Source organism: Homo sapiens, chromosome 14, assembly GCF_000001405.40.
Source record: "Homo sapiens chromosome 14, GRCh38.p14 Primary Assembly".
NCBI lineage: Eukaryota > Metazoa > Chordata > Mammalia > Primates > Hominidae > Homo > Homo sapiens.
This window is the reverse complement of record NC_000014.9, coordinates 63,865,566-63,892,399: the sequence shown is the minus strand read 5'-3', so window position 1 is coordinate 63,892,399 and position 26,834 is coordinate 63,865,566. Positions and strand designations below refer to the sequence as shown.

Sequence of the window (26,834 nt, the reverse complement as noted above, 5' to 3'; positions counted from 1 at the left end):
AAAACTGCTCTGAGGGAAAAAAAAAGGTTGGGGGGAATGGAGGAACTGTGAAATTTACAAAGTTGAACTAGTCCTTCTGAGCTGTGGTCAAAATGGTTTCAAGTACAGCTGGCAAAATTCTGAGAAGATAAGAAATGCTCGGGGAAAATCATGCAGGATCTCACTGTAATTATAACAGTATGTTTGTCAAGCGTTTGAATAATATAACTGCACGAGCATTTTTACACGTTTCTGTTGTGTAGCATTTTCCCACTGATGAAGGATTGTTATTTTAAAATTCCAAACACTAGTCTCCCCAAGATATTTAAAAGAAATATCTCTAAATTTGAAATGTTTGGCAGCAAACACTTATGACAGCCAAAAATATGTTAGCTGTTAAAATCAGAAGTTTGTTTCTGAAACAAACTATTTCTTGAGAAAAATATTTGCCAATTTTCGTGGCAGCTGCAGGGATGCTTTCACATGCAGAAATTAATTTATTATTACAAATGGGCAAAGGCAGAGTGATTTGCTTTTTCCTTTTGGCCCACACTACTATAACCGACCCAAATTACACGTGCTTTTATCAACAGAGGCACCAGCTGCTGCTTGGCCGGGACCCATTCTTTCTCTTTAACTGTGTTCCCTTACAGAGGAAATTAGCAAAAGCAATCTTTTTCAGATAAGGTCTGTTTTGTCTTGTCATGTCCAAGTCTCACTACAGCCCCGAATCATATATATACATATATGATTGTAAAGGGGGCCAGAATGTCACCCCAAAATATTCCTCTTTGACATAAAGGTTATTTTGAGCTGAAGACAACCGAGAACAGCAAGCAAGCTCTAAAAACAGACCTTTTTTCTCTTTGTAAAGGAAATTTACATGTATAAAGGAAATTTCCATTTGTAAAGTGTCCCCCTCTGCTGCACCAGGAAAAGGGGGATGTCTCTTAACAATTCCCATCAATGAAGAAGGCACTTTAATCTCCAAGACAAACCTTACTAACAACCCCTGTATATCACACATTTCCTAGTCACCTTCCCATAAGTGACTCCCCTTTTCCTATGGCTGGCCTCTTCTCTACACTTCGTCATCCTTTGGTATATAAGCCTTCAAGTTCTGACCGCCTCCTCGTGCCACATTTCTTTGTGAACTTTCATGCCTACGTAAGTAATTAAAACTGTTTTTTTTCTTGTTAATCTCTTTTGACAGTTTAATTGGCAGGGCCTCCAGCCACTGAACCTAGGAGGGTACAGGAAAGAAGTTTTTCCTCCCCTACAATTGCTGAGCTTCTTGCTTAATTTAGAGGCTTTCCATCCCAATTTTATTCTAACATGAGGGCGTGAGATAAATATTATAAAAATATAAACCAAATTCATGAAAAGCTGAGAGTTCCAGGGGTGACAGCAATCAGTCATTCTCATTTAACAAATACCAGTTGAGTGCTTACGACTTGCCAGGCACTATATCAGGCACTGGGGTGCAAAGATGAATAAGCGGGAAATGCTTTCTAGAGACAGGAACAGAGAGGAGCATGAACAGCAATAACTAACTGCCTGGAGAAGTCCAAAAAAGCAAAGCTTGTCATAACAGGCATAAAAGGAAAAGGAGCAATTTCAATCTTCCTAACCTCAAGATTTCCCCATTAAGGCAGACAGGACCTAGCAAATGTAGTTTGGGGATGGGAAGGCTGCCAGGATAAGTGAGCCTAGTCAAATTAGAAATCATTAACAAGCACAAAAACAAGTCCATTCCTCTAATCTACTGTTGGGGCTCAAAAAACTGTACTCCCAAGTGAAGGCCTCAGAAGCAAAGTTTCTCTCTGACCACCTGCCCTCCTGTCTCCCTCCCCTCATTCTCTCCAGAGGCAAGCCATGGAAACTGGAATCCCTCTTCATCAAGGTGGGTCATAGAAATCAGAACCCCATTTCCCTAAAGCCAGAAATAAAACCTAAAAACATTACAACAAACTTCCCCTTGCTTTTCTGTGTAAGAACTGGCCATAAAGACATTCTCTGGCCTACTTTGTTTGATTGTGAGTCCTAAAACCCCTTAATAGCCGAGCGCAGTAGCTCACACCTGTAATCCCAGCACTTTGGGAGGCTGAGGCAGGTGGATCACTTGAGCTCAGGAGTTCGAGATCAGCCTGGCCAACATGGTGAAACCCTGTCTCTACTAAAAATATAAAAATTAGCCAGGCATGGTGGCCCACGCCTGTAGTCCCAGCTACTTGGGAGCCTGAGGTGGGAGGATCACCCCAGAGCACAGCAGGACGAAGCTGCAGTAAGCCAAGATCACACCACTGGACTCCATACAGCCGAGGTGACAGAGCGAGACCCTATCTCAAAAAAAAAAAAAAAAAAAAAGAAAGAAAGAAAGACAAGACCCAACCACTCCAGAAAGGGGCCCTGCCCCATACCTGGATGGAAGGAATACTACACAGAGAGGCCAAGAAGAATTTGAATGAATTTCCCCCTCAGTCTATCTCTTCTAGATTCTATCCTTTTTGTCTGATCATATTAATACACGGTTGTCCATGCATCAAACCACAGCATAAAAATGGATACTTCACCCTGAGTCTTTGGGCCTTCATTCTGAAGACTCTCATGTCATGTAAAACTGTGACTAAATACTGCAGTACGGGCCGGGCACAGTGGCTCACATCCGTAATCCCAGCATTTTAGGAGGCCAAGGTGGGAGGATCACTTGAGCCCAGGGGTTTCACACCAGCCCAGGCAACATAGGGAGACCCTCTCTCTACAAAAAATAGAAATAATTAGCCTGGTGTCATGGCCTGCATCTGTGGTTCCAGCTGCTCAAGAGGCTGAAAAAAAAAGAATCCCTTGAGCTCAGGAGTTTGAGGCTAAAGTGAGCTACGATTGTGCCACTGCACTCCAGCCTGGGCAACAGAACAAGACCCTAACTCCAAAATATAAATATTTTAAAATAAAAATAATACTTTAATAGGAGAATTATTAATTATACTTTAATAATAATGCTTAGTATGCTTCTCTCTAGTTAACCCCTTTCCTCCCCTACACCACCACCACAACAGAGCCAGTGGTTAAGAAATGTATCCAGCTATTTTTAGAGGATTTTTAAAAATACTGTAAGTTAGATATACTGTAAGGACAGAAAGTCGAACTGTCATTCAATTTATTTTCTACAAAATGGAATATACATTGTATTTAAGAGGATTTTTGTACTATAATAAAAGAGGAGCTTATAAAAGTAATTTTTAATGTTCCAGAAAACTACAAAAAAAAAAACTATACCCATAGCTTCACCATCCAAATGCCACCAGTGAATTTTTAGATAATTTTTGTCTGTATCATAGGTCTTTACCCTTTTTTTTTTTTTTTTTTTTTTTTTTGTATTTTAGTAGAGACAAGTTTTCACCATGTTGCCCAGGGTGGTGTTGAACTCCTGAGCTCAAGCAATCCACCCACCTCGGCCTCCCAAAGTGCTGGGATTACAGGCGTGTGCCACCGCGCCCGGCCTACTTTGTTTTTACAGAGTTGTAATTATACCACAATTTTTTTGGTTCTGCTAAATATTAAGCATCAGTATTTTCATGTTCTTAATCTCTACAGAAATAATCTTAATGCCTGCATTACATCTTGATGGTTCATAAAAATTTACATTGGAAAAGAACAACAAGGATTAGTCTCCTAAAACATCTCAAGAAGACAAAGGGTAGAAAATGTTCTGTTACTGTTTAGCTTTCATTCATTTTTACTTGTCAATAATTTACCCAAAAAGTATGAATGTGCAGTTTGTATGTTCCAGGCACTACACTGGGTAGTCAGCAAGATGGGATATAGGGTACCTCACCTTACTTGATTCCCGGCCATTGTCACCACTGTGCTTTAGCTCTGTGCTGTGCAAATTAAATAAAATAATTAGGCAAGTGATACTATGAGGCTAATTTCCAGGAGGGTAGGAATGGTGAATAGGCAGCAGTAACAAGGACCCAGGCTCATCCAGGCTAGAATATAACCAAGCCTGGCCTCAAGATCCCAGCTCATGGTGAGAGAAGCAGGGACCAGCACACACAGCTGCTGGCTGGCTAGCCAGTGAAGGACGGTGCCCCCCACCCAGGCCTGGGATACCCAAAGCCACACCAAGTGCAGTCTGGGAAGCTGAACAGTCTTATGAGGGGGCAATACCATGTCGTAGAATCACTCCTGGACTGGTGGCTTAGCAGGCCCGAGTTTGGGCCCTCATTCTGTCCCAAGCTTGTACAGAACGTACTGAACATACTTGGTCCCTAGTTTTCTCATCCATAACATAAGGGTGGAGCTAGACACTACAAGCCCTTCCAGCTAAATAAGTGTAATTTTATGACACTATAAAAACCAAGACTCGGCCAGGTACGGTGGCTCATGCCTGTAATCCCAGTACTTTGGGAGGCCAAGGCGGGCAGATCACTTGAGGTCAAGAACCCAAGACAAGCCTGGCCAACATGGTGAAATTCCATCTCTGCAAAAAATATAAAAGTTAGCCGGGCATGGTGGCACATTCCTGTAATCCCAGCTACTCAGGAGGCTGAGGCAGGAGAATCACTTGAACCCAGGAGGCGGAAGCTGTAGTGAGCCAAGATGGCACCAATGCACTCCAGCCTAGATGACAGAGCAAGACTCCATCTCAAAAAAAAAAAAAAAAAAAAAGCAGGACTCACAGTAGTCCACAAAAGCACCAAGTCCAATCATCTCACCAATATTAAAGCATATTTCAAATACTAGGAATGGGGGGGAAAAAAAACCAGTTCCTTGCTGCTCTAGAAGTTACATATCTTCCAGTTCAGTTACTAAGCTCTTCTGGGTTGTGCTAAATCTTCAGTCTGGCTGGCAATGTCAGTAAGGCCAGGGTGAGGGTTGCCTCTCTGGATCCTCCTGAAGGACAATCAGCTGGGCTCTCTCTTCCACAGCCACAGGCTGAACACCTTCCCCAGGGACCCACAGAGGGTGTAGGATCAGTTCAAACCTGGCTTCCTACCGGAAAAGTTAAGTGATGTTCTCTGACGGTATGGAAACTAGAGGGAAAATTCTCTTTAGTATTGAAAAACATCATTTCTTTCTCCAAATGATTATTATTTCCATACATTTAGGGTTTCTTTACAAATTCTATTTTTTTTTTTGAGATGGAGTCTCACTCTGTTGCCCAGCTGGAATGCAGTGGTGCGATCTCGGCTCACTGCAACCTCCGCCTCCCCAGTTCAAGCAACTCTCCTGCCTCAGCCTCCCCAATAGCTGGGACTACAGGCACAGGCCACTACGCCCAGCTAATTTTTGTATTTTTAGTAGAGACGGGGTTTCACCACGTTGACCAGGACGGTCTTGATCTCTTGACCTCGTGATCTAGCCACCTTGGCCTCCCAAAGTCCTGGGATTACAGGCATGAGCCACCATGCCTGGTCACAAATTCTTTTTTTCTTTATAAATTCATTACTAATTAAAGAATGATGGCCAGTGGCTCACATCTATAATCCCAACACTTTAGGAAGCCAAGGCAGGCAGATCACTTGGTGCCAGGAGTTTGAGACCAGCCTGGCCAACATGGTGAAACTCTGTCACTACTAAAAATACAAAAATTAGCCAGGCATGATGGAGCACACCTGTAGTCCCAGCTACTCGGGAGGCTGAGGCAGGAGAATCACTTGAACCCAGAAGGAAGAGGTTGCAGAGAGCCGAGATTTGACCACCACACTCCAGCCTGGGCAACAGTGCAAGACTCCATCTCAAAAGAGAATGAATAGTCCATATCATTTAAAACACAAAATTAATAAGGCTACTACTCCAATAAGTACAAGATAAATTCTGTCAGTTGAGACATCTAATTACAAAATATAAAATTGATATACATCCAGTAAATAAACTTTGCACCTAATAATTGACTCTGCACTTAATAATCACACAATGTATCTTAAAATTACATTGTTTTACCTACCTCTTAAAATCAAAGTCTATTATTTAAAAAAAGGAAGAAAATTCCACATAATAAACAAGTGGACAACAAAGCATGCATTTCACCCTGTCTTATATAAATTATAATCAATTATTCTAATAAAAAGTCATTACCTAGCTGAAGATCATAAAGCCAAAAGAGGACCATTAGCTCTCAATTACCTAAGCACACATCTTCCTGTTGGTACATTAGGGTCCTCACTCCTGGGCCAAGAATAGTAATCAGAGGTGATAAGTTTGTGTGTTTCCCTGTATGTATGTTTTTGTAGGTAGTGAGTCCACCCAACAGTGCATTTTGAATGCTGTTTGAAAAACAAGCAGTAAGGATGTTAAAACTACTTTCATTCTGTGAAATGGTATCATTATCTGTGTTAGCACAACACAGGTGGGGTAGGGCTCAATCATTCTACTATAAAACAACAAGATCCCATACTGGCAAAAGAGGGAGGGAGGAAGGCCGGGTCCAATTAAGAAAATCAGCATCTATTTAGCTCACATATTCTCGAGCTGTCTCCCTCAGCTTCAATTAAGAATTCATTAGACTATTATCTCCCCATGGGAAAGGACTACTGTCCTTCATCTCGATGACCCTGGTACCTAACCGAAAACCTGGCACACAGCGAGTAGTCAATAAATGCAAGCTGAATATTGTTGAATGCGTATATAGCTAGCAGCATAACTACCTCAACATCTCCCACTTGAACATATTCAAAATAAAACAGGTTTACTCAGGATGCTGAGGCAGGATTGCTTGAGCCCAGGAGTTTGAGGCTGCAGTGAGCTATGATCACGCCACTGCAGTCCAGCCTAGGTGACAGAGCAAAACCCTGTCTCAAAAAAAATATATCGAAATTAAAAATAGAACAAGTAACTTCAGCTCTGGCCATTTGGGAGTTAAATGGTCCAGAATTAATGTTCTTCTGTAAACAATAGAAAATTGGAAAAAACATAGGAAACAATTATGTTGAGGCTGCAACAGGCAATGCAAGAGTGCCATCCTTCAGAGAAGGGAAATGGACAACGTGAGCCCCATGATTGCCTGTGCTCCCCACCTGGAAACAATTTCCAGACCTAAGCACATCAAGGGACACCAAATAGAGCCTCGCCAACTTCACAGAGAGACAGTGAGAAAGGCCCAGATTGCAGAGTAGAGAAGGAAGCAGGAGTGAGCAGAGGAGAAAGTTGAGTTGCAAAGCAGGCTCAATAATCGCCTCTACTAACCCCATGGTGAGCTCTGGAGGTAACATGGCTCTCAGAGTTGTCCTAAGTTGGGCCTAGATGGCTCAATCTTCCTATTCCCACCTCATTAGTCCCTGGATGTGGGACCCTCCATCTCCATCCTTTGAGTAAGGTGGTTCACTGCAGCTGAGGCAATGGCTAAAGCGGTCACTCCCAAGAGGCTGGGCACCGAGTCTTTCTTTGAAGCGAATCTTGACAGTAAACACAGCATCCACCACATTAAGCTCTGAAAACTATTGCTCTGGCTACTTCTCTGCTTAAAATATTTCAAAGGCGGCCGGGTGCGGTGGCTCCTGCCTGTAATCCCAGCACTTTGGGAGGCCGAGGCGGGCGGATCACAAGGTCAGGAGATCGAGACCATCCTGGCTAACCCGGTGAAACCCCATCTCTACTAAAAATATATATATATATATGTTTCAAAGGCTTCCTATCAACTGCATTTAAAATTCAACATCTGGGGCCTTCCTACTTCATCACTGTCTTTTGACACTCTCACATAGGCCCTAAGCCTACAAACACGGCCAAAGAATCGAAGCTCTCCTTAAGGCCCCAGGTTCTCTCTCACCTTCCCGTCTTTGCACACACTCTCTCACCTATTCCATCCACGTGGACAACTCCAACTGACCCAGGGAGAGTGAGGTGATTGGCCTTGGTGCCCACTACACACCCCGTGCCACAATCTCAGTGTATCTACCACACTTGTCTCAGACACATCTCCATGTCTGACACCTTACTGCAACCTAAGCTCCTTACAGTACCGCTTTCTTCTTTGTATCCAGTTCCAAACATCAAGTCTGATGCAAAGTAGGTACCAAGCAGACGTGCAAGGAGTTACTGGACAGATGGACGGATAGAATCATTAAGCACTCTCAACGAGTAACTCCTACCTTTACTCTTTTCTTAGTTTTTCTGTCTTCAGAAGAAAAGCCTTTCCTACAGCACTCAGGTCATGCCAGTGAAACTGCTCCAAGTGCCCCCGGAAGGCTTCTGTAGCAGCGCTGGCCTGCTAAGTCTAGAAATTCCACCTTCTCCACTGTGGTCTACCACAGGGCCTGCTTTCTCCATTTTACTTACCCTCGATACTCCAGGAGGGAAAAGAAGCTTAGGGCGCCCCTCTGGCCCTGACATCCAGGCTGTGGCTCCTCTCTAAGCTTCGCCCTGAGCGGCTTTCCTTCATCTCCTGGGCCACACCAAGGGCCCGCTTCTCAGCTCTCCCTGGGTCACCCATCACCACCCAATGACTCTGAACAAAAAAAATTTCTTCCTGAGGGCACAATATATTTTTTCCTTTCAAAAGGAGTTCACACTTCCCCAACTCCCCTCACACCCATGCAAAAAAAAAAAAAAAAAAATTCACCAGCTTCTGTATTATAAGCAATATAACCAAGGCTACATTTATATTTTAGTTCAGAAAACTTCAAGCTTGTGTCTGGAACAATTTTTCCCAAATTCAAATTCAAAATAGCCCTGTAGAGGAGGGAACTTATCATCCAATGTAATTTTTCTTGTATTTTTAGCCTTGATTTACAGGCATTTCCTCACATCAACAGTACAATAAAGGCCAGGCGCAGTGGCGCACGCCTGTAATCTCAGCACTTTGGGAGGCCAAGGTGGGAGGATTGCTTGAGCCCAGGAGTTCAAGACCAGCCTGGACAACATAACAAAACCCCATCTCTACAAAAAAAATACCAAAAAAAGTTAGCCAGGCGTGGAGGTGCACGTAGTCCCAGATCCCTGGGAGGCTGAGGTAGGATCATCTGAGCCTGGTGATCAAGGCTGCAGTGAGCCATGATTGTACCACTGCACTCTAGCCTGGGTAACAGAGCGAGACCCTGACTTTAATAAATGAATAAATAGGCCGAGCATCGTGGGTCACGCCTGTAATCCTAGCACTTTGGGAGGCCAAGGCAGGTGGATCACTTGACATCAGGAGTTCAAGACCAGCCTGGTCAACATGGCAAAACCACGTCTCTACTAAAAATACAAAAATTAGCCAAGCGTGGTGGCATGTGCCTGTAGTCCCAGCTACTCAGGAGGCTGAGGTAGGAGAATCACTTGAACCTGGGAGGCAGAGGTTGCAGACAGCTGAGATCATGCTACTGCACTCCAGCCTGGGCGACAGAGCAAGGTTCCATCTCAAAAAAATAAATAAATAAAATGTAAAAGAAAGAACTGAAGCATATTTGCCAATAAATACCACCTAATTCATTAAAAAAAAAAAAAACAGAGTGCTTACTATGCACTAAGCATTTATATACATTATGTCATTTAATCCTCATAAAACTTCTCTGACATGGATAATAACCATATCAACAATTTATAGATGAAACCAAGGCTCATGGAAGTGAAGTGCTTTATCCTAAGTGGCTCAGCCACTGTGTCTCTGAGCTCCATCCTGAGTCCAAAGTCTCAACCTCTATTTCATATAATACCAAAATGGGATGATCAAGATAAGTAACCTTTCCACAAGTAACTGTTTTTTTGTTTTTGTTTGTTTGTTTGTTTTTCTGAGATAGGGGCCCACTCTGTCACACACACTGGAGTGCAGTGGCACCATCATATCCCAGACGCAACCAATCCTCCCACCTCAGCCTCCCAAGTAGCTGGGACCACAGGCGTGTGACACCACACCCAGCTAATTTTTTTTTTTTTTTTACTTTGTGTAGAGATGAGTTCTCCCTATGTTATCCATGCTGGTCTCGAACTCCTGGACTGAAGTGATCCTTTCACCTTGGCCTCTCAAAGTGCTGGGATTACTGGTGTGAGCCACCGCTCACCCGGCCTCCACATGTTACTCATTCAGTAACATTACTACTTGTTTTTAATCAAGAGTGATAGAAATTCCTTGACCTGATAAATACAACATATGGAATATGTTTTAAGTTTTCTTTGGCGACTTAACACCATTATTAATATCAATTACTATACTCATCTCTAATTAAAACCATAAATGGAATTTTAGCTGCTCACCAATTCATCCTAATGATGACATTATTCAAGTTGACATTTGTCAGGATGGAAAGAGCTGACTGCTTCTCATCCCCCTTTCCGTGTTCCCATACCATGACCACAAGCAGGCGGCTGAGCTTCCACTTTCCACTTCCTCTGCTATTACACAAGGATCTACGGCTCCACCTGCATCACAGAGCTTGCTAGAAGGCTCAAATAATTCACACAAAGCACGACCAATAAACTGGAAACTGCAGCAGGGTTGTAGGCCTTATTATCTCTCCTCAGTGAAATGCTTGGATTTTAAACTCTTCCTTTCAAACACTATTCTAAAGAGTAATAAAATTCCCATAAGGCTAACAGTCTCCATAATTCAATAGTCTATCTGGCTGGTCAATCAGAAATATGTTACAGGTTCCAATAACAAACATCAGTAATAGTGCCATTGTTCTAACGGTTTCTGCAATGCCATAGTACTAAGGCTATGCAAAGCTTGTGTTTCTTCGAGTGGTGTTGAATAAGCAACATCTTATCCACTGACATCCGCATGAAATGAAGCAACAGATTCCTGATGTGGCAGATTAATTAACTAAGGGAGAAATTAATTTGGGTTTTTTTTCTAATTCTTTAGAAATATATATATAATTATAATTATATATTTATATAAACATAAAATTTTCCATAAATATATAAGTATATATAAAAATATATGACACACAAATTAATCTGTATTATAACTCTAACTCAAAAGATCAGATTGTTTTGTTTTGTTTATTTATTGTAGAGACAGGGTCTCACTATGCTGCCTAGGCTGGTCTCAAACTCCTGTCTTCAAACGATCCTCCCAAAGTGCTGGGATTACAGCCGTAAGCCACTGTGCCTGGCCCAAATTTTTATTCTATAGCAATATTCCACAAAGTAACTGAAGACAAACAATCATCCTGGTAATAGCTTCATAGGTAATTCAAAAACATAAAAGTTTCCTTTGGCTGGGTATGGTGGCTCACACCTACAAACCCAACATTCTGGGAAGCCAAGGCGGGCAGACTGCTTGAGCCCAGGAGTTCAGGACCAGCCTAGCCAACACACAGAAAACCTGTCTCTACAAAAAAAAAAATTGCCGGGCACAGTGGCTCACACCTGTAATCCCAGCACTTTGGGAGGCCGAGGCGGGCAGATCACAAGGTCAGGGGTTCGAGACCAGCCTGGCCAATATGGTGAAACCCTATCTCTACCCAAAATACAAAAAAATTAGCCGGATGTGGTGGTACATTCCTGTAATCCCAGCTACTCGAGAGGCTGAGGCACAACAAATTGCTTGAACTCGGGAGAGAGAGGTTGCAGTGAGCCGACATCGCACCACTGCACTCCAGCCTGGGCGACAGAGCAAGACTCCGTCTCAAAAAAAAAAAAAATTTTTTTTAAATTAGCCAGTCACAGTGGCACATGCCTGTAGTCCCAACTACTTGGGAAGCTTAGCCTAGAGGACTGCTTAAGACCAGGAAGCCAAGGCTGCAGGGAGCCATGATTACACCACTGTACTCCAGCCTGGGCACCAGAGTGAGACCCTGTCTTAAAAAAAAAAAAAAAAAAATTAAAGACAATAGAAAATATTAAATAAGAAAATACTAAGATCAACAGAATCCGATGTTGATATTCAATAGGAATGTAACCATATAAATATATATGCATATAAACAAGCATTAAAAGATAAAGTACAAAAATAAAAATAAAAATAGTTGTGGTAGTTGATATAACATAGAATTCTTTTTTTCTTAACATAGAATTCTTATTCAAAGTCTTACAGCATTATTGCTACCTCATCTTCTAAATGAAAAATATGTAACCCACACATATTTTTTTAAAACTACTTCAGCCAGGCATGGTGGCTCACGCCTGTAATCCCAGCACTTTGGGAGGCCGAGGTGAGTGGATCATTTGAGGTCAGGAGTTCAAGACCACCCTGGCCAACATGGCGAAACCCTGTCTCTACTAAAAATACAAACATTAGCCAGGTGGTAGCAGCACACACGTGTAATCGCAGCTACTTGGGAGGCTGAGGCAGGAGACTCACCTGAGCCTAGGAAGCGGAGGTTGCAGTGAGCCAAGATCGTGCTACTGCACTCCAGTCTGGGCAACAGAGTAAGATCCTGTCTCAAAAAAATTAAATAAATGAATAAAATAAAATAAAATAAAACCACTTAATGTCAACCCTTCTATCAAGTGAAATAAGAAAATAAATAAAATAAAATTTATAAAGTTCTCATTCATAAAATAAAACATAACCAGAGAAGAAAATGTTTTCTTAAGAATGTGACTTGTGGTTAATGAAAAGACTAAACCTAACTTTAGAGATTTAATTTCTACGCAACTGCGATATCCTTTGCTGGTTGGTGCTATAAACCCAAGTATCCCCACTATAACCTTGGCTCATTTGTTGAATGCTCTTGTGTGCTTTTTCAGACTAATTGAAGAATTTAATCTTGCGGTATTTGTAAAATATGCTATCTGTGGATACCAAAGGGAAAACGCAAAAATACTTTTGTCCTCTGTTGCTTATTTATCTGAATAGATTTACTTTTCCTCCTTTGTCTCAGGCTGGGGCAAGTGAACTTTTGGAAGCCCCTTTGTTCCTTACTAAAGTTACATATTACCACTCTCTCTTTCCTATCTGTGCACAATTAACAGTCAGCCAGATCGGCTTTCCCACCCTCCCAGCTTCCTTCATAGGATACACCAGCCACCTGGGCCTTTCCTGGAAGAAATGAACAGCTACACACTATTTATGGTAACGGTCAGAATTCAAGGGATGGAGACCCTTTGTGGGCTCCGACTGCTTCTCCCAAGGATTCATGGCCTCCTGGATCTCTGCCTGAGTCCTTAGTCTACCCACAGTTCAAGTTCACTGGGGCTGATTCTACTGAAGAATACACAGAGGTTAATTTTCAGAGGGTCAAGTCTTCTTTTCCTGCCTTGCTAGAGGAGTCATTCTCTACAAAAACAAAAAAAGATTTTTAAATCAATCTTCTGATAAAACTTGCACAAAAGGAGACTTTTCAATGCCTTTTGTTATTGAGATAAATTAGCCCAACTCAAGGTTGGGGTAGGTCATGGTATGGTTCTTCAGTTTCTCCCATTACAGTCTTCTTGGCTTATGAGGCAGTTTGTGCTCCTGTAAACTCCTTAGCACATACCAGCACACCCAACTGAGCTTTTTTTGGTAAAGACAGGGTCTTGCTATGTTGCCCAGTCTGGTCTTGGCCTCAAGCAAGCCTCCCACCTCAGCCTCGCAAAGCACTGGGATCAAGGCATGAGCCACCACACCTGTCCAAACTGTATCATTTAATGGCTTCAGACAGATATTTAAGAGTTATGCCTAGATTTTTTTCTTTTTTGATCACTACTTTTAAAACGGGCTTCAAGCCGAGCGCAGTGGCTCACACCTGTAATTCCAACACTTTGGGAGGCCAAGGTGGGTGGATCACCTGAGATCAGGAGAGTTCGAGACCAGGCTAACCAACATGATGAAACCTCATCTCTACTAAAAATACAAAATTTAGCCAGGCCTGATGGCAGATGCCTGTAATCCCAGCTACTCAGGAGGCTGAGGCAGGAGAATTGCTTCAACCTGGGAGGTGAAAGCTGCAGTGAGTTGAGATCGCACCACTGCACTCCAGCCTGGGTAAGAGTGAGACTCTGTCTCAAACAAAAAATAAAAATAAAAATAAAGAAAAAAATAAAAGGGGGCTTCAGCAGCAGAAACAAAATGACCAGAATCTAGGGAGAATGCCTGTCAGCAAATGATTGTCTTGATTCTTGTGTGGCCCCAAATATGAGATATTAACCGACTTCTCTAGACAATCAACCAATCCTCCCCAGCTCCCTGTAAAGGTGTTCACTGCCTCCACAGGAAAGCCTCTTACCAGGGCTACAGGCTTTATTGGGTTGTGTGGGTGTACCAAGTACAGGCCAGGGAGATCTAGACATGCCAGTCCCACAGGGTGGAGATCACGATCACGTTGCCACAGGTGCCATTTCTTATTCACCCACCCACTCACCATCCAAAGAACACCATGTTAGGCTGGGTGTGATGGCTCAAGCCTGTAATCCTAGCACTTTGGGAGGCCAAGGCAGGTGGATCACTTAAGGCCAGGAGTTCAAGACCAGCCTGGGTAACACAGTAAGACCTCATCTCTACCAAGAAAAAAATTAACCAGGTGTGGTGGCACACACCTGTAGTCCCAGCTACTCAAGGGAGGCTAAGGTGGGAGGATCACTTGAGCCCAGGAGGTCAAGGCTGCAATGAGCCATGATGATACTACTGCACTCCAGCCTGGGCAACAGAATGAGACCCTGTCTCAAAAAAAAGTTTTAACTTAAAAAAAAAAAAGTGTAGCTAATGCAAATGACCTTGGCTATAAAATACAGAACGCCACACCTTATAGACAGTCATAAAGTAGAACTGTCAGGGAAACACAGGAAAAAAGACACAGACACAGAGATTAAGAAAGCAAAGAACACACACATAGGGAACACATCTACTCATGAAAGATAACGCCGCTTTGATCCCCAACTCCACTGTTAAATATCAAGCTCCACTTGCTGACTTTCAACATTCCTATGAGAAGCCCAGAAAATCAGAATGGTGTCACTTTACAACAGTGTAGATCTTCAGAAGCATTCCATAATTCTATTTCAATCACAGTATTAAAATGTAGAGATGGTTCTCATTTCCACTCCAGTGGTTTTCTTAATCTCTACTACGGCAAAATATGAGAATGTAAGTAACCAAATTAACCACCTCTCAGCAGGAAAAATGGAACTGCTCAGAAATCTCCTGTTGGTACAAATTGTTCCCAAAAATCCTCCTGCCAAACTTTTGACCTATTCCTCCTAAACTTGGAAGTGAGTGGTAACAAACTTAGAAAGTAAAGTTTTAGCTATGAATCATAGTTCCTATTTTGACCAAAGTTCTAGGTTATAGGCCTCTCATTTTTTTCTCCAAGTTCAATGGGCCTGCTATTTTTTTTATATGAAAGCAGTCATGGTGCACCTTTTTGTCTCTCCCTGAAGGCTTCCCATAATCTATTTATAGGGCTGGAAGTTTTCCAAACCCAAACATAATTTATTAACGAAAGTGGCTGTGCCATTTTTGATGACTGACAATTTTGGTCTTGTTTCTCTCTTATCCCAAGGGAAAATCAATTGCCCAGCAAATTAATGTATCCCTCATCCTTTCATCCTTAGAGACCAACAATCAAAACTGATTTAGTCTCAATTGGTCTATTTCTGGCTCTGAGTGGATGTTAATCCTCAATAACAGGTCTGTTGGACTAAGTAACAGGCTGAGTATCCACGGACAGTGGTTTCTGATCTGTCTTATTTGTTCCCTGACTCACTGGGAGGCTCTGAACAACTCACTGTATTCTCTCGGTTTATTTGATACGATTAGCAATGCAGTTAAAAGAAACATATTTGGGGGCCAGGCGCAGTGGCTCATGCCTGTAATCCCAGCACTTTGGGAGGCTGAGGTGGGCGGATCACAAGGTCAGGAGATCGAGACCATCCTGGCTAACACGGTGAAACCCCGTCTCTACTAAAAACACAAAAATTAGCCGGGCGTGGTGGTGGGCGCCTGTAGTCCCAGCTACTCGGGAGCCTGAGGCAGGAGAATGGCATGAACCTGGGAGGCGGAGCTTGCAGTGAGCGGAAATCACGCCACTGCACTCCAGCCTGGGCAACAGAGCGAGACTCGGTCTCAAAAAAAAAAAGGAACATATTTGCTTGTTGCTTGTTTTTTTTAATTAAAAAAAATATAATGGTATCCACTACTGCAATTAAATAAGATTTTGTTTGTTTTTTGAGACAGGGTCTTGCTCTGTCACCCAGGCTGGAGTTTAGCAGTATGATCATAGCTTACTACAGCCTTGAACTTCTGGCTCCACCTCAGCCTCCCAAGTAGCTGGAATTACAGGCGTGTGCCAACACACCCCGCTAACTTTTTTTTTTTTTTTTTGTAGAGATAGAGTCTCGCTGTGTTGCCCAGGCTGGTCTCAAACCCCTTGGCTCAAGCAATCCTCCCATCTCAGCCTTCCAAAGTGCTAGGATTACAAGTGTGAGCCACCACGTCCAGCCGATTAAATAAGTTTTAAACAACTAGCTCAATCCATAGTCACCAAACTCATACCTGTACCTTCATAAAACAGGTCCATCATAGTTTAAACTGGAATCGCTGGGGTGATCCTGGTCCACAGACCTCCCTAGAGTACAGCCAAGTCAATCAGAGGGGTCTTTAAGATGCACCCCTTGCAACATGCACTTTGGCCAGTCTCCCTTCTGCCCTGGGGTTTCTCGCATCAAGTCACCGGTCTGGGAACCTTGAAGAACTGCAGAGGGCAAGAGCAGGCTCTTCCACCTGGGCAGTGACGCCTCCCTTCGGCCCATACACTGTTGTCCCTCAAATGTACCTCTTAAGATTCGTGCCAAAAGACAGAAAAAGCAATTTACTATAAATATCGGCATTTCAAACATTTTATTTGTTATTGTTTAATATGTGAAGGTATTTCCCCCCATGACTGGCTGAGGTTGACAAGTGTTACTCACTTCATTTTTTTTTTCTATTCTGTTAGTCTCCAACAACATATTTCTACATCACCAATCCCCTTGCTCAGTGTCCCATAAAGGTCTCTGTTTCCACAAACGCAGGCAACAGCATGGGCGTGCTAGTCCAGGAATACCACTGCACCTCCTCCACCCCAAGCTTAACTTCCCAGGAGAAGGAGGAAGTGATGGTGTTGGAAGAGAGCCCTAAAATGTTGTCATTGTTATTGTGAATCTTTAAATAGAACTTAGTATCTGTAAAGGGTTTTGGGAATCACCTTTACTCACAACTGTTCATAAAGATGCTATGAGAAGGAAGGGCCATTCTGTTAGCTCTGGTCTTTGATTTTTATCTATATCACATGCTGCATTATTACATGAAACTGGGCCTCATAAAGTAAAAATTATCCTGCTAAAATAAAATCAGGATTCCTTAAAAATCAAAGACTTGAAAGTTTGGCAAAGTGATGCACACCTGTAGTCCCAGATACTTGGGAGGCTGAGGCAGGAGGATCACTTGAGCCCAATGGTTTAAAGCTTAGTGCACCATGATCACACCTGTGAGTAGCCACTGCACTCCAGCCTGGACAACATAGCAACACCCCATTTAAAAAAAAAAAATCAGAGGTTTGAATTTTTTTATCCATGTGATCATGAAGAAGATAAAATTAATTTAGATGACACCATCTCTGAGAACTCTGCTTGTCTCCTAGTGATAACACCACACCCTTTGTACCAACAACAAAATGTCTTTAAATACTTTTCCCCTTTGACATTTTTTATTTTCTATGTCATTAAATCAGGTTATTTGGCAAGAAATGCAAGGAAAAAGAGAATTTCAGAATAATTATAGTAATATTAATTTTGACTAAGCAAACATAAAAAGTTACTTAATGAAGCTTGTTTTCCAAACTTTTAAACATTGCTAAATCTTCTTGCAAGATTTTTGTTTTCCCTTTGAGGTTACCCACTTGTAAAGTCCATTAGTTTTTGTTTCTTAAAAAAAAGCAGTTATGGCAAATAGGCTCAAAATATTTTCTGCCTCTAAAAATAAACATCTTTCTTTTGAACAACATTCTTAACTCTAAAGTTCTGGCTATTCCCAAGAGAGACAAGGCTAGTTAGTGGCAATTTTAAAGATAAGAGAGCTCAGGCAGGTTACATAGATATCCTTCCTGGAACCCCTTGGCCTGTCATCTTCCTGCGACATCTAGCAAATTATGGTACTTTGTTAGCTCCCAACAACAAAAGAGGCCTGCAGAGCCAGGAGGTGAGAAGCAGAGACAGTGGAGCAGAGGGCAGGCAGGGAGAGCCACAGCGTTCAGTAGGATTTAGTCTACAAATAACAAGGAAATCAGATGCAATGCTCCAGGAAAAGGCAACCTCCAGTACCAAAAGTATTTTTAAATGTTTACGTCTTTTTGTGCAACTATAAGAAGGTTTTAAAGAACTACAATGAACAACACGTTAAACACTCTGACAGACGGACATCTCATAGATACGTAATGCAAGCAATCTGTAAGGAAGAGAGATACAGGAAGGGAGAGAAGGAAGCACACAGCCAGGACAGCAGGATAAAGAGGAAGATGACATTTTCCAAGCTAACAAATGGTTTTTAACTGTCCTAATCCAGGTGCTTAAGATCCTTGAAAACAATAACCTTCCAGAAAGCAAATACAAGCAGCCAACAAGAGAACAAGTAGCCTCCTATGTACCTCTGTCAAGTCACCGTTCACTGGAGGAAAAAGGGAGGGAAAACCAAGCCATGAACAACCCAAATAGTGTTAATAAATCAAATTATGGAAGGAACTTCTGAGCAACAGCCGCCGTCCTCCCATTCACTTTCTACTTCCTTTGCATGCTGAGACCCATCCACAGTTCAGTGAGGAAGCAATGGTGCCAACCATTGTCCTGCTTTATGTAGTTAATGGAGAAAAAAATGAGAATCTTATGATTTCTTACAAAGGTAAGTACTTGGCCGGGTGCAGTGGCTCACGCCTGTAATCCCAGCACTTTGGGAGGCCGAGGCAGGTGGATCACGAGGTCAGGAGATCAAGACCATTCTGGTTAACACAGTGAAACCCCATCTCTATAATACAAAAATTGGCTAGGCGTGGTGTTGGGCGCCTGTACTCCCAGCTACTTGGGAGGCTGAGGCAAAAGAATCGCTTGAACCCGGGAGGCGGAGGTTACAGTGAGCCGAGATCGTGCCATTATACTCCAGCCTGGGCAACAGAGCTAGACTCCATCTAAAAAAAAACAAAAAACAAAAAAGGTAAGTACTCACACTTTAGAGTACTGTAGAGTCCACACCTTCACCTGCATGACTATGGAAATATGGGGAAATTAATCTTTATCAAAAAAAAAAGTAAGTCATATCCATTCTAAATAAAGAAATATGTTTATATCTACAGTCACTGGCATATTAACACTCAGACAATTCTACTTATGTACTTCACATCAGTCTGATTAGAGTATACCCATTTTCAAATATGAGTAGCTATATGTAGCTCCAATAATATCGGAAAGGCAAAGCTGTCATTATGTGGTTTATGTGCATGTTAATGAGTAACTGTTTCCAGAAAACTACAAAAACAATACACCTACAAATCAAAACGAAAAAGACAAACAACCCAACAGGAAAATAAGCAAAAGACGTGAACAGGTGGGTCCTAGAAGGAGACATAAAAAACTAAATATCAACCAATAAGTGAATGGATAAACTGAGACATACTAATACAATGGAATATTAAACAATGAAAATCAATGAATCAGAGTTACATATATACCAAGACGGATGAATCTCACAGTTGAGAGGAAAGATAGCAACTTGCAGAAGAATGTGCAACATACAGTAAAACTGTAATATTAATTACATATCATCTTTTTTTTTTTTTTTTTTTTGAGGCAGAGTCTCACTCTGTTGCCCAGGCTGGAGTACAGTGGTGTGATCTTAGGCCACTGCAGCCTCTGCCTCCCGGTTTCAAGCGATTCTCCTGCCTCAGATTCCCAAGTAACCGGGATTACAGGCACCCGTCACCACCACCACGTGCGGCTAATTTTTGTATTTTTAGTAGAGATGGGATTTCACCATATTGGCCAGGCTGGTCTCAAACTCCTGACCTCAGGTGATCCACTCGCCTCGGCCTCCCAAAGTGCTGGGATTATAGGTGTGAGCCACCATGCCCAGCCAATTAGACTCTTGTTGGATTTTTCTTGTCTTTTTTTTTTTTGAGATGGTGTCTCGCTTTGTCACCAGGGTGTGGAGTGCAGTGACAAACCATCTTGGCTCACTGCAACCTCCACCTCCCAGGTTCAAGTGATTCTCCTGCCTCAGCCTCCCAAGTGGCTCGGATTACAGGCGTGTGCCACCATGCCTGGCTAATTTTTTTTATTTTTAGTAGAGACAGGGTTTCACCATGTTAGCCAAGATGGTCTCGAACTCCTGACCTCAAGATCCATCCGCCTCAGCCTCCCAAAGTGCTTGGATTACGGGCATGAGCCACCGCACCAAGCTGGATAGAATCTTAAAGTATCTCCCAGGGATCCATGATAGGACTAATATTAGGCTGGTACAACTTGACACGGCCGGGCCCACACACTACCAGCTGTCAAATACTTTGAAAATCAACCTTAACATTCATATGCAACAAAATTGTTAAGCAACACATAAGCATGATAAATACCAAATTCAGTACAGCAGCTTCCTCTGGGGAGGAGGAAGAGGTCACAACCAAATTAGCAATATTTTATTTCTGAACTAGGATGCTAAAGCAGGTATATACTTACTGTATAATCATTTATACCTTTTCATAGGTCCTAAATATTATGTAATTTTTAAACAATATCTATATATAGATATAATTTAAGTTGGCCAGGTGCAGTGGCTCACACCTGTAATCCTAACACTTTGGGAGGCTGAGGCAGGCAGGCAGCTTAAGCTCAGGAGTTTGAGACCAGCCTGGGCAACATGGCGAAACCCCATCTCTACAAAAAACATAAAAGTTAGCTGGGGTTCTCACAGTGAGACCCTGTCTCTGAAAGATTAAAAAAAAAAAAAATGACATCTCTTTTAAAACCACTTTAGATAATGGTTTTCATACTAGAATGTTAAGGAAATACTTGTTCTAGTGGAATTTTTTTAAAAAATTCAAATCTCGCCAGGCACGGTGGCTCATGCCTGTAATCCCAGCACTTTGGGAGGCTGAGGCAGGCGGATCATCTGAGGTTGGGAGTTCGAGACCAGCCTGACCAACATGGAGAAACCCCGTCTCTACTAAAAATACAAAAAAATTAGCCGGGCATGGCAGCCCATGCTTGTAATCCCAGCTACTCAGGAGGCTGAGGCAGGAGAATCGCTTGAACCCAGGAGGCAGAGGTTGCAGTGAGCTGAGATCCAGCCATTGCACTCCAGCCTGGGCAACAAAAGTGAAACTCTGTCTCAAAAAAAAAAAAAAAATTCAAATCTCCCCAAAATTAGTTCCTTTCTGTCCTTCTTGAGTTTGTATTACTCTTTAACTCTGCCTCCAAAGAACCATCCATTTCTGTGCAACCGCATTGATAAATGGAGAGTTCGTACTAAATATTTGATACTTGGTCTTATTTAACCATCAAATCTTAGCATTCTAACTGGTTAAAGACAAAAAAGTAAAATTAAAAATTTAAATTTAAATTTAAAAAAGTAAAATGACAGTAGATGAGAAAAAAACAGCTGGAAAATAAATGAATCTGGGATATCATGAGTCTGCCTGTTTATGCCCCTGGACTAGAGCAGAACCAAAAGGACCTCCATGTGCTGATAGGGTTAAATATGATTTCCTGGGGTGTTGATCTTGAGTAATACTCCGTGTGCATACATTCTAAAGGAACAAGTGAATTTTAGAAATGTCTGTGGTATAGTGTAGTGGTTAAAAGCTTGGGTTCTGAAATCAGTCTGACCCCTGGTTCAAATTCTAGCTTTGCCATATACTAGAGGTGTTATTTTGGGCAAATTACTTAACCTCTCTGAGTAGAGTTTCCTCATCTGTAAAAGTGAAACTAAAATCCCACGTACTTATATTACTGAGATAATACAGGTAACAGAAAGCATAGTACCTATAGAACACATGGTAACAAATGCTAGTTATTACATTCAGTTCAAGGGTGCAGTACACAAGGGGCTAGGTATCAGGTGTTTAGGGGACAGTCAGAAATGAATCATATATGAGCCCTAATTCTTCAGGAACTGGGGGAGATGGCCTTGTAAACAAGTCACTGTAGTATTATCTAGAATGGAAGAAGTGCCAACTGAAGTACAAGCAAGGTGCTGTGGGTGCATAAAGCAAGTGATGCCAACTTTGGGGAAGTTAGGGCTAATTTTGTAAAGCATTTGCCATTTGAGCTGAGGGTGTATTGCCAGGCCTAGAATGATGAGTAGGGCTTTTATGGGTGGAGAGTGGAGGAGAGTAGATTGTGGGCTGAAGAAAAGCACAGGGTTAATGGCAGGGTGTGGTGGGAGAGAAGGCTGGATAGATGATTTGTGGTTATATTTTGGAGGGTTTTTCACACACAAGTGTTCAGACTATATTCTCATGGCCAATGGGGAACCAAAGCAGGTGTTTGGTGTGAGCTGTGTTTCGCAATAATGTTTTGAAAGATGTATTAGAGAGGCAGGAGTCCAATTACAAGGATGTTTCAGAAATTCAGGTGAGTGATGAAGACATTTGGAGAACAGAGTCAGAGGGGATTAAAAGGAGATAGAAGACAGACAATTCGAAACTAGGTGCCAAAGACAATGTTCATGCTATTACTTGAGAGAGAGAAAATACAGGAGGAGAAGGTATGGGATAAATTGGATATTCCAGCAATGGGGTGGGCTAATGGGTCTTGTGAACTCAAAGATTAGTGCGAGATCTATCCGGCAGTTGGAAATTCAGTTCTGAAAGAAGGAAGCTAACATTTTATTGTGTACCCACTGTGTCTCAGGTTTTATGCTAAGCACCTTTGCAAATTATTTATTGGGAGCAGTTTTTTTTTTTTTTTTTTTTTTTGAGACAAAGTTTCGCTCTTGTTGCCCAGGCTCAAGTGCAGTGGCGCGATCTCAGCTCACTGCAACCTCTGCCCCCTTCCCCCACCACCTCCGTTTCAAGCGATTCTCCTGCCTCAGCCTCCCGAGTAGCTGGGATTACAGGTGCCCGCCACCACGCCCGGCTAATTTTTGTATTTTTAGTAGAGATGGGGTTTCACCATGTTGACCAGGCTGGTCTCAAACTCCTGACTTCAGGAGATCCACCTCGGCCTCCCAAAGTGCTGGGATTACAGACATGAGCCACCATGCCTGGCTGGAAATAGTATTTTTAAGATGAAAAAGTAGGGGCTCAGAAGAGACGTGATATTTAAACATCAACTTTAATTTTAAAGCACTTCTCATTTTTATCTTTTCTCTTTAAGCTCAGAAGAATGGATAAATGAGTGAGTACCAGAGGCAGCGAGCAGGCTGCTCTCTGGGACACTTTTCATCAGTTTCCACCTCAGGGTTTCACTATGAGGAGGGAATAGCTCTTTAACTGTGTGGTTCTCCTTGTTACCTGAAGAGTGTCAAGGGAGTTTCATTCTCCATTTTATTTCTCAAGTTCTAATATTCCTTTCCCTTCGGAGCTGCTTGAAGGTTAATGTCCTTTAAGATTTTTCTCTCTTGCTTCTGATGAAATGGAAACATTTGTTTTGGAGTGGGTAAAAACTTAATAAGTCTTGTTTTAGTTCAATTGGAGAGGCCAAAGGGGCAGAGAGAATGTTGCTCTTTTCCTTAATGGTGTCCCCTTTATTAGATAATGAAATGTGTAATCCTTATGCCAAGCTCATGGATGCAGATAAAAATTAAGTCTGATCAGACTTTGAATGCCTTTTAAGGAATTTTTGTTATTACAAAAACCCCAGCACACACACATACACACACACGCACACATGCACACATAGGCAAAAGCCCTTCCCCATATTACTTTCATTTTCCATTCTTGCAGTCTCTCTTCCTAGAGATAATTGCTATGGACAATTTTATGTTTATCTTATTTAAATGTTTCTGACACCTGGGACCTTGGGAATAATTAGGCAAAGTAGCTAGAATTTGACCTTTTTCCTTTTCACCTAGGTATTTGATATCAGGGTTTATTACTAAGATTTCATCAATATGGGTTCTTCCTTTTTTTTTTTTTTAAGGCAGGGTCTCACTCTGCTGTCCAGGCTCGAGTGCAGTGGCATGATCTCGGCTCACTGTACCTTCTGCCTCCTGAGCTGAAACAATCCTCTCACATCAGCTTCCTTAGCAGCTGGGACTACAGGTGTGCACCACCACGCCTGGCTAATTTTTGTGTTTTCTGTACAGATGGGGTTTTGCCATGTTACTCAGGCTTGGGTTCTTATTTTTGACTGTGGTTTTGAAAGCCCCATAAATATAAAATATAACTTACTTTAAATGCTGTTAGGTCACCTTTCAAATCACCAACATACCTAGGGTTATAATTTAAAGACCTTGTGCATCTCATTTGTTGCTAAACCAGTTCTGTTAGTTAATTTATTACACAAGTTTGCCAGTTAACTGCAACAGTGGGCAAAAAGCTTCTTTTTCTTTTTTTTCTTTTTTTAGACAGTCTTACTCTGTAGTCCATGCTAGAGTGCAGTGGCATGATTATAGCTTACTGCAGCCTCAAACTCCTGGGCTCGAGCGATCTTCCCACCTTAGTCTCCCAACACAGGTTCATGCCACCACGTCTAGCTAATTAAAGCAATTTTTTTTCAAGAGTTGGGGTCTTGCTATATTGTCCAGGTGGGTTTTGAACTCCCAGATTTAAGTGATCCTCCTGCCACAACCTCCCAAAGGGCTGGGATTATAGGCATGAACCACCTTGGCTGGCTGGCTGGCTGGCTGGCTTGCTTTCTTTCTCTCTCTTTCTTTCATTCTTTCATTCTTTTTATTCTTTTTATTCTTTTTTTGAGACAGAGTCTCGCTCTGTCATCCAGGCTGGAGTGCAGTGGTGTGACCTCGGCTTACTGCAACCTTCACCTCCTGGGTTCAAGCGATTCTCCTGCCTCAGCCTCCTCAGTAGCTGGGACTACAGGTATGTGCCACCACACCTGGCTAATTTTTGTATTTTTAGTAGAGACAAGGTTTAGCCTTGTTGGCCGGGCTGGTGTCGAATTCCTGACCTCAGGTGATCCAGCTGCCTCGGCCTCCCAAAGTGCTGGGATTACAGGCGTGAGCCACCACACCTGGCCCTTTCTCTCTCTCTCTCTTTTTTTTTTTTTTTTTAAGAGGAGGAAGGGCACAGAAGAACTGAGAATAGAAATTAACATAGGCCAATTTTAGTTTGGTAACTATATTAATCTGTTAACTACTTCATATGTTGAATGCTCATATAAATGTGCTGTGCTAAGTTTCTGTACAGAATCATGGGGTAAATGAGTAGACTGGATATATCTTGTCCATTAAGAGTTCTCTCATGGTACTGTTTAAGGACATGGGCTTTGGAGCCCAACAGACTTGTGTTCAAGCCAGTCTTGCCAGTAACTTGCTGTATGGTTTGGACAAGTTATTTAACCTCTCTGTTTCCTTAAATGAGGTAGATGGTTTCTGTGTTATAGGCTTATAACATAGGATCAAAGAGATGGTGCATGTAAAGTGTCTGGCACCAATTGAGTACTAAATAAATATTAACAATTTTTTCTTTTTTTGTTGGAGAGAGGGTCTCGCTCTATTGCCAAGGCTGAAGTGTAGTGGCACAATCTCCATCTTCTGGGCTCAAGCAATTCTCCCATCTCAGTCTCCTGAGGAGCTGGAACTACAGTTGTGTGCCACCACACCTGGCTAATTTTTAAATTTTTTGTAGAGACGGGATCTCACTATGTTGCCTAGGTTGGTCTTGAATTCCTGGGCTCGAGTGATTCTCCTGCCTTGGCCTCCAAGTGCTGGGATTTCAACATGAGCTACCACGCCCAGCCAGTGATTCTTATTGCTGTTTTATCATTATTTTCAAATACAGAACTTACAATTTTGATCATGTATGTTAGAGAATTTACCTGTTCTCACTTTTAAGCTATAACAAAGTAGGTGTCACTGATATTTCACTTTTTTTGCACTGTAGGTTGTCCAAAGGAATATAGAAATACTGAGATAAGCTTTTTAAAAAAAAGAATAGAGATGGGGTCTAGCTGTGTTGCTGAGGCTGGTCTTGAACTCCTGGGCTCAAGCGATTTTCCCACCTTTGCCTTCCAGAGTGGTGGGATTACAGGTGTGAGCAACTATGCCTGGCCAAAATAAGTGTTTTAAAACAGATGCAAATCTTAGTACCTCTCTTAGTTGGCCAGCTTTTTAAGTAAATTGAAAGAGTTCACCCAAAGAATACCACAGAGATTTTCTTTTGTTTTAGTAGTCTGACATCTCAAGTTCCTTTGGTGTTTCGAGTTTTGTTTCTACTCAGGAAAATGTTGTGGAATGCATAAGACATTTTTAAAGCAGTGTTCTAATTGTTCACCAGCGGAGAGGAAACAACTTAAGTGGTGTTTCTTGTTGGTTGAGAACATATTATATGTATTTTGGGGGCTGAGGACATATCAGGGATATTTCTACAGGGAAGGATTTGAGATAAGGAAAAAAATATTTCTTAGAAATCTCAAAACTATAGTCTGAAATTCCATGAAAAGAAAATTGAAGAATTTTGTAATCCAAGTCATTGGAGATAAAGGGTCAGAAGGAACATTTTTGTTGTTGGAAGTGTTATCTTCCAAGAAGATCCATAAATCCTTTTTTAATGAGCTAGAAGATATGCTAAAGAAAAAGGAATCTCAGAAGTAGATGGAAACAGGTTTTTTGTTTTTGATTTGTAAAAACAAGGTCTTGCTTGGTTGCCCAGCCTGGTGTTCTTTTTTTTAAAGGCCAGATAAATTTCTTTTTTCTTTTCTTTTTTTTTGGGGGGGGGGTGGGTACAGAGTTTTGCTCTTGTTGCCCAGGCTGGAGTGCAGTGGCGTGATCTCGGCTCACTGCAACTTCCACCTCCTGGGTTCACGTGATTCTCCTGAGGTCAGGAGTTCAAGACCAGCCTGCTCAACATGGTGAAACCCCATCTCTA

The 26,834-nt window shown here is 42.0% G+C and overlaps 1 protein-coding gene across 29 annotated transcripts in view, besides 4 other annotated features; it reads right to left on the bottom strand.

Moving 5' to 3' along the window:
* SYNE2 (spectrin repeat containing nuclear envelope protein 2) overlaps positions 1 to 26,834 on the bottom strand; it is a 464,854-nt gene that overhangs the window by 334,050 nt on the left and 103,970 nt on the right. The window lies entirely within an intron of this gene.
* Positions 690 to 1,397: an enhancer, noted in NCBI's record as "OCT4-NANOG-H3K27ac hESC enhancer chr14:64357721-64358428 (GRCh37/hg19 assembly coordinates)". NCBI's record gives its function as "activates a minimal SCP1, AML or CMV promoter by ChIP-STARR-seq in naive H9 embryonic stem cells {active_cell/tissue: H9 hESC(naive)}" and the evidence as "EXISTENCE:reporter gene assay evidence [ECO:0000049][PMID:30033119]".
* Positions 10,531 to 10,700: an enhancer, noted in NCBI's record as "experimental_35084 CRE fragment used in MPRA reporter constructs". NCBI's record gives its function as "activates a minimal promoter by MPRAs in K562 erythroleukemia cells, with activity observed for the non-introgressed 14:64348503 variant allele {active_cell/tissue: K562}" and the evidence as "EXISTENCE:reporter gene assay evidence [ECO:0000049][PMID:34662402]".
* Positions 24,196 to 24,245: an enhancer, noted in NCBI's record as "active region_8521". NCBI's record gives its function as "activates an Ori minimal core promoter by ATAC-STARR-seq in GM12878 lymphoblastoid cells {active_cell/tissue: GM12878}" and the evidence as "EXISTENCE:reporter gene assay evidence [ECO:0000049][PMID:35858748]".
* Positions 24,366 to 24,415: an enhancer, noted in NCBI's record as "active region_8520". NCBI's record gives its function as "activates an Ori minimal core promoter by ATAC-STARR-seq in GM12878 lymphoblastoid cells {active_cell/tissue: GM12878}" and the evidence as "EXISTENCE:reporter gene assay evidence [ECO:0000049][PMID:35858748]".